General features: G+C 42.5%; 1 protein-coding gene across 2 annotated transcripts in view; it reads right to left on the reverse strand.

The window, feature by feature from the left end:
- Window positions 1-12,313, reverse strand: part of COL4A1 (collagen type IV alpha 1 chain) — a 158,195-nt gene that overhangs the window by 85,083 nt on the left and 60,799 nt on the right. For both annotated transcript variants that reach the window (NM_001845.6, NM_001303110.2), the window contains exon 2: window positions 8,630-8,689. In NM_001845.6, the coding sequence (NP_001836.3) occupies window positions 8,630-8,689 (60 nt within the window). The remainder of the gene's footprint in view (window positions 1-8,629; window positions 8,690-12,313) is intronic.

Raw genomic sequence — 12,313 nt, forward strand, 5'->3', positions numbered from 1 at the left:
AGCTGCTATTCACATGACACGCATATGTCCCTACATGTGACATTTTAAGTTGCTTAAGTGCTCTTATGTACAGTATCCCCCATTCAGTTCTTTTAGCAACTCTGGGGAATTTCCAGGTCAGGGCATAACTTGGTCAAAACAACTTGGTGAAAAACAGTGGGTAGATGGGGGAACTTACACTAGAATCAAGGTTTTATCCACCGATCCACTCTTTCACAAAGGCCGTTCCTGGCTTCAGAAATAAAAAGGGTCAGAGGCTCGGTACAGTGGCTCACGCCTGTCATCCCAGCACTTTGGGAGGCCGAGACAGCAAATCTCTTGAGGTCAGGAGTTCCAGACCAGCCTGGCCAACATGGTGAAACCCTGTCTCTACTAAAACTACAAAAATTAGCCAGGTGGGGGGGTACACGCCTATAATCCCAGCTACTTGGGAGGCTGAGGCGTGAGAATCACTTGAACCCAGGAGATGGAGGTTGCAGTGAGCCGAGATCGTGCCACTGTACTCCAGCCTGAGTGACAGAGTGAGACTCCATCTCAAAAAAGAAAAAGAAAAAAACAGGGGGGCGTTCAAATAAGTGTGGGGAACTGTATATGACGCAGCACCCACGGAAGGTCCAGATGATACACTATCTTATTACAGGCTCTGAGACATCCCAGGGCAAAACAACAAATGTCCATTTAACCTGAACTCAGTTTTCCCCAAACGCCTGTGTCCTTGGAACCTCTTCCCGTTTCCATCCCGGAGGAAACATCTGTTGACATCCTAAAGATGGTCTGATGATCATATTTTGGGAAAGGCTAAACTAGACACTATTGTCTCTCAGGAATATTCAAAACATGTATAAACAAAGGCATTCAATTGATCTCAAAAAATTAGTAATCTCAAATATGCTTAATGCACTACCTAAACAAAGCTTATATTTATTTTTTAAATCCCCCTAGTATTGTACACTAAGGAACACTTTTTAATGCGTTTTGATTTTATGGTATATATTTCACACCTTATAAGTAAGAAAATTGAATTTCTTTTTAAATAGACTAGATTTGAAATTCTCACTAAGTCAAATCTGGCACAGTGCGTCTCACATATTAAGTACTTAATAAATTACTGTTATTATTAATAACTCACCATTATTAGTTCAAATGAATGAACTTATCCAAAGTTTCAAAGAGTCTACACAAAAATATTTGCTTTCATGTGCTTGAGTAAAGAATTTAGTATCTAAGAAGCATAACACCTTTAACGTTTAAAACAATGGTTAATATAATTTATAGGAAAAATTTTTTAATATTCTGTTAAAAACAGCAATAAAAGAAAGAAGATGCCGGGCGCAGTGGCTCACGCCTGTAATCCCAGCACTTTGGGAGGCTGAGGCGGGCGGATCACAAGGTCAGGAGATCGAGACCTTCCTGGCTAACAGGGTGAAACCCCGTCTCTACTAAAAATACAAAAAAATTAGCCTGGCATGGTGGCGGGTGCCTGTAGTCCCAGCTACTTGGGAGGCTGAGGGAGGAGAATGGCGTGAACCAGTGAACCCGGGAGGTGGAGCTTGCAGTGAGCTGAGATGACGCCACTGCACACCAGCCTGGGCGACAGAGTAAGACTCTGTCTCAAAAAAAAAAAAAAGAAGATATGCAAGAAAGATAATCATACAAGAAGGTAATTATTATTCTTTAATAATTACTGGAGATGCAAATATATTCTACACAGATACTAGGAATAACAAGGAATAACAGGAGAAGAGCCAGTCCATCTATCTATATGGTGGAATATTTAAAGCACTCTGTCCTTGTATATTTTAATTTCATAATGAAAACATGGCTAAAACTATGTCTATTGTTACCCATGTGTAAATTAGAGGAAAGATCATGGAAATAAATATATTTATAAATTGAAGATTATTGAATTCTCCAAAAATACAAATAAAGTACAGTCCCTGTCTCAAAAAGGAATTTCATCTAAGATTTAATTACAACTATGAAAATACCCTAAATTTATGATCTTAGGAAAAAGTGAGTCCCATACCTTAAAGGTAATGTTAGATTCTAAGGCACTTTGACAATTGTTACAATATAGCACAAAAACGACTAGAATGTTGTAGATGATGTGTTTAAAACCAGCATGCAAGCTCAAGCCTAAACTCCTTATCACGTAGACATTGCAATGTCTCTGGCAATGGGAGCTAATAAAAAACAATCAATGTAAAATGGCACATCTAATTCAACAGACTGGAAAATCTGTCCTCTTCTCTTCTTGTATTTAGGTATTAGATTTATGGTATTCCTTACAGATAATATTTTTCTTCTTATTTTGTATGTCCTTGAGAGAAATATACTAAGAGTGCTCATTTTGCATCTCTCAAAGTGCCCAGCAAAGTAACAACTGAAAAACATGCGTTGATTAATTAATCATGTATCTAAGGATTGACAGACACAATCCCTCTCCAGCTCTAAGTAGCCTGTGAAAAGGGAAAAGAAGATGCCTCTTCCAGATGTGGAGGAGGCAGAGGCACAAGTCGATGATCCTGAGTCAAAGAGAGGACGTGTGAGAAGCATGGCCATGCCCACGTCCTGGGTAATCGCGGAGACACAGTGAAGACGACCAGCCTTCAAACAGAGGAAGGAGCTCCTTGTGGAGCGGACTCTACACCAGGATTTCCGAAAGGCAGGGGCTGTGGGGTGACCCAGTGCTCACGCTGGGGGTGTTTCTGCAGACCTCTCACAGGCCTGAAACAGGCTTACTTCAAAATGCCTTCCCCTTAGAGAGGTTTTATTCCTAATGCACAGGGAAAAGCAATCCAGAATGGGGTGGGATGCATATTTTGATGGGCTGGGCACCCCTAACCTGTCTCAGGAGGGGACAATGGGGCAGGAGTGGCTGCTGACTGGCTGACCTGCCCCTTGTCACACACAGGGGCTCGCTGTGGGTTAGTTGTTGAACCGGGCTGGAGGCCCACGTTGACTCCTGTAGAACAGGAACTGGGAGGTCTGCCCAGGGCCCCAGAGGAGTAGGCTCATTTCTTTGTGGTCCTCCAGCAGTCCTCCCCGTCCCGACCCGTTAGAGAAAGGCTTCAGAAGGCTTGCTGTCCTTGGCAGGTGGCCTGGGGCGCAGTGGGTCCGCCACAGAGTCAGTAAGAGGAAAGGAACTTGCTCAAGACTTCGGATATTCTGAGCCGTGTCTTCAGCTGGCCCGACTCCCTCAGATTAGGGTCTGCTTATCTGAAGGAGTAGAAACTGAGTCGTACTCTGGTTAGTGCCTGAATCCTGTTATTTGTCTTTTATTAGCTATAGAAGATGGGGTTAGTTCAGCGGTATTCCATCCAGGGTGAGTCTGCACCCCCCACCCCCCGCCAGGAGACATTCAGCAACAGCTGGAGATATATTTATGTCACGACTGCTGGGGTGGGGGTGCTCCTGGCATCCGATGTGTAAAGGCTGGGATGCTGCTCGACATCCTACAATGGACAGGACAGACCCACAACCAAAAATTATCCCACTCAAACTGTCAATACCACCAAGTGGAAAAAGCCCGGGCTGGTTGGTTTCTTCCACTGTATAATAGATATTACAATAATGTGCATAAAACATACTCGGCCCCAGGCCTGGCCCAAGATACAGTCTCTTTCTCTTTCTTGCTCTGACACTCACAAGCCAGGATTTTTCTATCCTAGCCTAGATCCGTTGTGTAAAAGCAGCAGCTATAGCCAAATGTTGAGATGCAGAGAGACAGGTTTATACAAAGGTGTGACATGGACATACACCGATTGTGTCAAATATCTAGGCGCTAAATGGCTGGTAAAGCTACAAACTGTTTGCCATAACAAAAGAAAGGGTATCCTGTACAAGCTCAGCCATACACGACATTAAACTCTTCCCAGATTTCCTGGGCCAGCAATGAAATCACTTCCAGACTGGCCACAGACTTCTCCAGCCTTTTCAAATCAGATAAGATACACATTTTAGACAGACAGATAGCAATGCCATCTTCAAAGTTCTCTGCTTGGAAAGCAGTCTTGGTTGTTCTATCTGATGACAATATTATTGCAATGCAGAGCCAATGTGGACAGGAGCTGTGATTTATAGACAATCTAATTAGTAATAACAGGATAATGTGCTGCTTCTCTATATCTTTGCTGAGGATCTGGGTATCAGCAGGGTTAAAGTATTACAAGAAGGTATGAGATATCCACACAGTTGTCACTACTCACTAGAAATGCTACAATTCTACTTAATTGAGACTCTGCTCACAAGACTGTGGCTTGGGAATGTCCCTTTTTGGAGTCACTATAGTAGAAACCGTCAAATCTTTGCTATGACAGCATTTATCAGCTGGTCCCAAGAGCTGTTTTCTCTGATTAATGCAGTTCAATTAACATGTGTCTTCACATGTACGTGTGACAGAAGAACCTAGTCTATATCTAAGCAAGCCTGGCAAATTAGTGAGGACATGAGAGGCTGGGGTCCTGCTGAATTGGGGAAGCTGTCCCTTGATTTTATGCTCCAGGTCCCAGGGATCACTTCCTTCTCAGAAAGACTTTTGTATTTGTTTTCCCAACAGATTCTCCTGGAATGTGATGGTTTACTCTCGCCTTGTTATTTATGTACACCAGTCTTCCATCTCTAGTTTAACTTTAAATTCCCTTTTTTGGACACTGCAGGGTCACAGACTATGGTGATAGTGTTATGGAAACGTGGGCTCCCAGGTTAGATTATTTGAAAGAGGTCTTGTGTAAACTCTATTTTAGCAAAACATAAATGGTTAATTTCCTTAGCATATAGCAGTAACTTCTGGGAATGTGTTGCCTTTCCTACTATCTTAAATACTTGAGAAAATCAAATTATCACTCAAAAGAAGAGCTTAACTTTTGGCTATTTCTGTGAAGGCAAGCATTCAAAACCCTAATCAGTACAAGCAGACAGCATTCCCACACTGCCGCAGTCTCTGGAGGAGCACAGAGCCACTGTGTGCAAGGCCAAATTAATTACCTAACAGAAAACATCTGAAGATATGAGTGGCCTTCCAAGCAAGTGGGAAAATAAACAACTCAGCAAAGACTCTCTGAAATCCAGTAGAAACCTGCTGAATTTAACTGTTGAACTCAGATCAAGCTATCTAGTATTTATTGATTACTTGAAAACTATGAGATTATAACGCCAGCAATGATCTGTTGCACTAAAATGTATTTATAGTATCTACAGAATATAAGACATTTTGTCCATTCTGTCATATCGCCATAGAAAGCAGAACTTAGTCAAAAGAGATTTGTACTGGAGATATTCCAGTTTCTGTTGAGGATACTGATGGTTTGCAAATAATAGTGTCAAAGTGCTCCTCAAAGAGACGTGGGAAAATATGTCTTAGAAGTAATAATTTCCAAATTTCTAAGGCTGTGACATTCTGACCCAGCTTGGTAACTTTAACTGCATCTCAGCTGTGCCTCCTACTGTCCTGTTTAAAGAACAACCAATCAAAATCAATTTAATGTGTAGACATTTGAGAATATCAAAATAATTTCTATGAGGATAGAAGGCGTTCAGTTGCAGCTCATAAGCAGACTAGTGATCTAAACCAGTAGATTTGTATTCCATTATTCCAACCCCTTTAGTCATTTTGTTTTTACACTAGGTCGGCATTTCTAGGGCTGGGACGCTCTGAATATGCAGAAGGTGGCAGGAAGTGCAGAAGGTAGAAGGTGGCAGCCACTGAGGAAGATCCACTTCTTCTCTTGACCTGCCAGCCTAGAGTACATTTCTTTCTTAGCTGACTTTGGGATGAGAGAAAGGGAACCAGATCGGAAACCCTAGCTCAGTGAAGCTGAGGCATTTCACATCATTAAATTGATTATTTTAACAGGACTTCCAAGACAATAAGGGGAAGTTTGTTTAAAATTTCCTCTGTCAGTGGGAGGAAGGGCTCTTTCCCCTTCTCAATGCTGTGTGAACCATAGGACCTGAAATGTTTATGCTCAAGATGAGAAAAAAATAGACCTTCTCCATTTTTGTTAAAATGATATAATACTAAACCATTTAGCTATTGTCCTAGGCCTAGACTTCAAGAGGTCTTCTGAATCCATTCAATCATCATTGCCTTTTAAATCACAAATTCAGAATGGTCTAAGGTAGAGCTTGCTAGCATTTTATTTTAAATGTTCTTTATGGAATTAAAAAAAATTAAAAAAAAACAGTAAGAACCCCAAAGTTGGCAATGGAGAAACAGGAGTGTAGAGGAGCAGGTCAGGCCAAAAAAGTCCTGGAGGTGCTGGGCTCCCTGGCCTAGGTCCCTTGGTGGGAAACCTGGCTAAGGCCACACAAGGAGGGGAGCAGGATCCTGCTCCTTCCATCCCAGTCCTGGCCCGGGCTCTGCTGACTCCCAGTGTCAAGGCTAAAGCTGGCCCCTGTAGGAAGCTGGCATGGAGCCTCCCTCGGGACACAACTTCCACGTGGCCCCACACTTCTCTGCCTTCCTGTCCTAAGCAGGGCGCAAGCCCCACGCAGGCTCCAAGCCAGGACAGGCACAGACCTCGCCTGGCCAGAGGGGGCCACCCCCAGCAAGGGCTCCTCCTTGGGCAATGTTGAGATGAAATGTTGGCGGCCCCTTTCCTTCAGGCCAGGTGCTGGACACCGCCTCCCCTGCCTTCCCCACACATGTGTAGCCCACTCGGAGTGGAAGCGGCTTGGCTCTGAGGGGTGTTACCAGGTTGTGGAGATGTCAGTTGACAGGTAGGGAAGGCTACACCCTATCATTCTCCCTTGTCATGTTTTGATGAGTGGATTTTTGGGAAAAACTGAAATAAATTACGTTAAAAAAGTTACAAGTTTTTTGGTTTTTGGTTTTTGGTTTTGAGTTAGAGCCTTGCTCTGTCGCCTAGGCTAGAGTGCAATGGTGTGTTCTTGGCTCACTGCAACCTCCGCCTCCTGGGTTCAAGCAATTCTCCTGTCTCAACCTCCTGAGCAGCTGGGACTAGAGGTGTGTGCCACCACGCTGGGCTAATTTTTGTACTTTTAGTAGAGACTGAGTTTCACCGTGTTGGCCAGGATGGTCTCAAACTCCTGACTTCCAGTGATCCTCCTGCCTCAGCCTCCCAAACTGCTAGGATTACAGGCGTGACCCACCATGCCTGGCCTAAAAAATATATATAAGTTTATAGATGCGGATAGAATAAGAAAGTATGTAAAGCTCCAGAGCCAGGAGGGGCCGCCAAGGCCTGCCGGCTGGACAGAAGCAAATGGAAATGGAGGTGGACATCAACCCTGCTGTCCCTAGGAGGGAGCAGGGCCAACTTGGCTCCAGCCCTGCTGCTTTCAAAGTCACATGGAAAACAGAGGTAATCATGATCCAGGCCTTAATTCCTCTTTGTTGGGACCCCAAAGTTCTCCATTTTATCATTTTAAGGACATTTTTATGAGTTTGGTGAACTCACTTGTATATTTCAAGTTAGGTTTTTAACAAAATGTCTGTGGCATGAGAAACACTTGCGTCTACTTTAAAATAACTCTTGAGCATGCACACTGGAAATCGCTAGAAAAATCCAAAGTAAGAGAGCAGAGCATGAAGATAAATTAGAGTTGATATGAAAAGATGTGAAACTTTCCTTACATACTCCATTCATTCAAAAACTATCCAGGTAACACTAGTGCCATCACCTATCAGGCATATTTTTTAAAATAATAATGTTGGCATTTCAGCAAATAGTCAAAAAGAAACCACAGAATTTTCTGTAAACTAGAATTTGCTGAATTTCGAAAGCATCAGTCTGTGGCCCCATAAAACCTCTGGCATGCCGGGGAGGGAAGTAAGAATTCACACGCTAGCCAGAATGACACCTTCAGCTTTCTGGAAACAGTATCCTACAGAGTATCCACTCCATTCTACAGGGTCCCAACCTGCTGTGCGCACCTGCACCAAAGGCTGAGTGGCTTAAGGTGGTGGCATTTCCTCACAGCCACACCTGGTTTCCACGGTGACCCACAGACAGTACCAGGATGCTGCACTGTTTTCTGGATAAAAAAACAGCCAGGCACCCTCTTTCCAACCAACTGAAATGCACAGATTCAACTTGCCTTCCAGAGAAACTTATCTTTATCTGGAGCCCTGGTTCTTAAATGAAAGGGAGGGGAACAGTTTGCTTGCAAAGAAATACATTTTAATTTTACATTTGGGAAACACTAAGTTTCCCAAGCAATATTTTTATAAATAAATCTAGACAAGCATGTGATGGATTAAAAGATGGTTTAAAAATACTAATTTGAAGAGAAGGTCCTCAAGTAGAATAGGAACTAGTTTCTTTTTCCGGAAAAATGTTAAAATTAGTTCTTATACATCAATTCGAAAAAGTACGATAGATTCAACAGATTTTCTACCAAGAGTCAAAAAGGAAAATAAACCAAATATGTTTTTCTACATTAATTGCCACATACTATTACATTCTTTGGAGAAGAGCTATTATAATAATATTACTACTCAGAAGTAATGTCAAGCCTGGTTTGGCTTCATTTGTATTGCTCTGGGGAAATTATCAAAACAGTAATAAGGCTTTCACCTGAATTGCTGATTATTCGGTTACTGTTAATGTAGTACTTACTGTCCAATTCACAAAGAAATGTTGTGATTTAAATTTCGGCAACTCACCTTTTGTCCCTTCACTCCATGGCAGTCACATTTGCCACAGCCAGAGCCAGCACAGCCACCCTGGAAGGAAAAGAAAACTTCTTTAAATAGAAGAACACTTTCAAAGCGAGGGCACTATGCAAATGGAGATGGTTCTGGCATCTTGACTTGTTTATGAGCGAAGCCTGCCCTGTCCTTCGGACACAATCTTATCTGCACTGGTTTTCATGGGGCTGTCATGCAGTTCCACTTAGGGTGCAGATCCCCTGCCCAAATAGATAAAAAAAAATCCTTGAGTAGAACAAATCCCAAGTGTTACTCAGCCCAAAAAGTGAACAATGTCACCTATACTTTTTGCCCTTTGTTAATTTCTATTTGAAGTTGACTCCCTCGGGGATTAGTTTAACAGGGCAACACCCATATTTGCAAAGCTACCCAAATGTCATGCTTCTTATTTAGAGGTGTCAGACCTAAGACCGTGGAGGCTGAGAGCTCCCAATGACGTGGTCTCAAGGACACACGGCCGCGCAAAAAAAAGTTTGTACAGAACAGAATAAAGGAATGAGCTGATTTTTAAGCCCCAATCTTAAAGAACTCCTTTTTGAATTCAATTAAAGCTTGAACGTCACATTAAAGAACAGTCAACAACAAAATATTCTTGTAGTTCACTTTTTTTTTTTTAAGACAAAGTGTTGCTTTTGTTGCCCAGGCTGGAGTGCAATGGCGTGATCTTGGCACACTGCAACCTCCACCTCTCCAGTTCAAGTGATTCTCCTTCCTCAGCATCCCAAGTAGCTGGTAATACAGGCATCCGCCACCACACCCAGCTAATTTTTTGTGTTTTTAGTAGAGATGGGGTTTCATCATGTTGACCAGGCTGGTCTCGAACTCCTGACCTCATGTGATCCACCCGCCTCAGCCTCCCAAAGTGCTGGGATTATAGGCATGAGACACTGTGCCCAGCCTGTAGTTCACTTCTAACATAAAAATTAACTTTTAAAATGGAAGGAAATGAATCCAAGCCTGTGATAAAAGCTGGAAAGGAAGCAAGCTACCACGTGTTCAAACGCTTACCAGGTGCCACGCACAGTCAGCGATCATCTTATTTAATGATCATAACAAGCATTTCAAGATAGGTAGTGCCATCCCCATTTACAGATGTGGAAACTGAATTAGAAGATTTATTATAACACGCTAGGACAAAGTTGAAATTAGAACCCAACTTCAATTTCCATTATGTAAAATTGTCATCACATGAAAAGATAGAAATACGTCGGTACATACACGCACTTGCAATTTCCTTAGAAGAATCCCAATTTTAAACCATGACAGACACAGGTATTGTGGACAGAATGTAAAGAGGTATGAGATGAATAATCGGGTTAATAAGCTTTATTAGAGGCTCTGCTTTAAGTCTGATATAAAATGTTTACTTATATTCTACTTCAGGTGATTATCATTTCCTGAAAATAAAATCATGCCACTAATAGTATTGTGATCATGCAAAGTGTATATTTTTAACAACATATTCCAGCCTCAGCTGCATTGCCATGGAGACGCCTGCATAAAACAATCACATCTGGAGATATTTATTTTGTAAAGCTAAATCTGAACAAGTGCCTCCAAGACAGTAAGCTGTTCTCAATTTTATATTTTGGAAATGGGGACAGCTGACAACAGTCCAAAAAAACTCCAGAGATGATAGGTCTGTGTTTTTCTCTGACTCACATTTTAGGCAATTTTCAGCCTACACTCTCATAACCTCCTAACATTTTAAATCAATCCATGTGCACAGATTTGCTTCATAATCTGGGTTTTGGTGACCACTCAGAGGCATCCAAAGAGATGAGGCCAAAATCTGTAACCTGTGCTCCAGGAGGTTCTTCCAAAATGGACAAATACCAGTACTGAGAGACCTCACCAGAGGTACCTAACTCAGCCAGTACTACCATGTGTCTAATCCCCAGGTGAGGGTCACCTGCTCCCTACCTGGCTCCTGCGAATTGCTGACTGCATGTCTCTATTGTCAGGCTTATCACGTTTCTCGTTGTTTACTTCTGTGTCTCCCCGGTACACCCTGAGTGCTTTGGAGGCAGCCTCACATACAGCTCACACCAGGCTCCCGTAGCATTGAGCCTGATGTGAGCTGTACTTCATCTAAGACGACACCAATTGTAAAACCCATACTAAGAAATCAAGAAGGGTACTAATTAAACAATGACACATTATCAATTGTTAGATCTATCCCAATTCCAGAGTTGTTAAAACATCAATAAATGCACATCTTAGAATTGATGAAATCAGTACCCAATTATGGTTGTATTCTTGGTGCTGTTACTGGTGTTACCCATCTAAGCAACCTTAAGTAACAACTGTAGATGGAAATCCAGTGGCACCGCGCACCTCAACCACAGTGCATTCGTGCACAACAGCACTGTGGGACAAAGCTCCAAACAGGGAACTCGGCAATGATTACCTGACTGCTCCAGATCACAGAGTAGCCAGGGAAGAGCCGGGGACTCTGGGGAGTGCGCTGGCATCTGGCACCTGACACCTGGAGCCGTCCAGACCAGCTATTCCATCACCAGGTCATCTCCAAGTCCCTGGAGTTTCGGGGCAGCCTCTTTGCTGGGATTATGCCACTGCCCACAACCTGTTTGCGTTTGAGCCAAGTTTGGAAACACATCTCTGTTCTTTAAACTCTGCAGTGTTTCATCCCCCTCCTACAGATACCAAAAGGAAAACCCACCAGGCTAAGTCTCATGTATCTGCAGAGTCCATTTAGGAAATGTCCAGCAGTCATCTGGGCTTAGCTGGCAGAAACTCAACACCAGCCTGAAGTAGTGTGGATTTTCGACTTGTGAGTCAATTGCTGCTTTCTGGGAAAGAGCAGATTAAGCAGGGATTTAAGGGATTGAAGCTGAAAATGGCTATTTGGTGATCTGGAGTTTTCTGAAAGGTTGATAAAATCTCAGAAGCTTTATCTTTCTGCAATTTGAGGGAGGTTATAAAAATGAATTTCCTGGAACTGGGCCCTTAAGCCATCCGTGAATGCTTCCATTGCCTGGGACTGCAGATAAGAGGCTGCAAGGCTGTGACTGTGGACCCTCGGGTCAAGACGCTTCTTGTGCTTTTGGTACAGAAACACCCCCAGCCGGTGCCGGTGACAGGCGGGTGGGTAGTTTTACCCTGGGGACCACTTCAGGTACTAAGGAACACTGGGGAAAATCAGAGATGAGACAGGACTGACCCCCGACCCCGGCCTTCCCCCACCACCTTACGCTTTTTCATAAGCAAGTAATTTTTTTTAATCCTGGACCAAAAACATGCATGGCTTTATGTGTGTAGGGAATTTGATTATCAATTCTAAAAAATTGATCATTCCAAAAATATCTAAATTAGGGTTAGCTTTTCAGAACAAAAGATGTCTAAGATCATGATTTTTGTGTCACATTCTGGGTGGCCTAGCATTTTATGTAAATGGTTTTGTTAAAAAAAAAAAACAAAAAAGCTAGCCTTTAGAATGACAAGAATGACAAACAAATATCCTAAGATGTATGTTTACTTTGTTAAATAAAATCTATTTTAAAATATCACTATTCTGGTCCTTTCTGTCATATAAGGGCCCGTGCTGGGTTTCACCCTGGCATATGAAGGTATTTTAGCTGCAGTTCAATGGTTCACTGCTAAAAAGAAAAAAAAAAT

Source organism: Homo sapiens, chromosome 13 (assembly GCF_000001405.40).
Source record: "Homo sapiens chromosome 13, GRCh38.p14 Primary Assembly".
NCBI classification, from domain to species: Eukaryota; Metazoa; Chordata; class Mammalia; order Primates; family Hominidae; genus Homo; species Homo sapiens.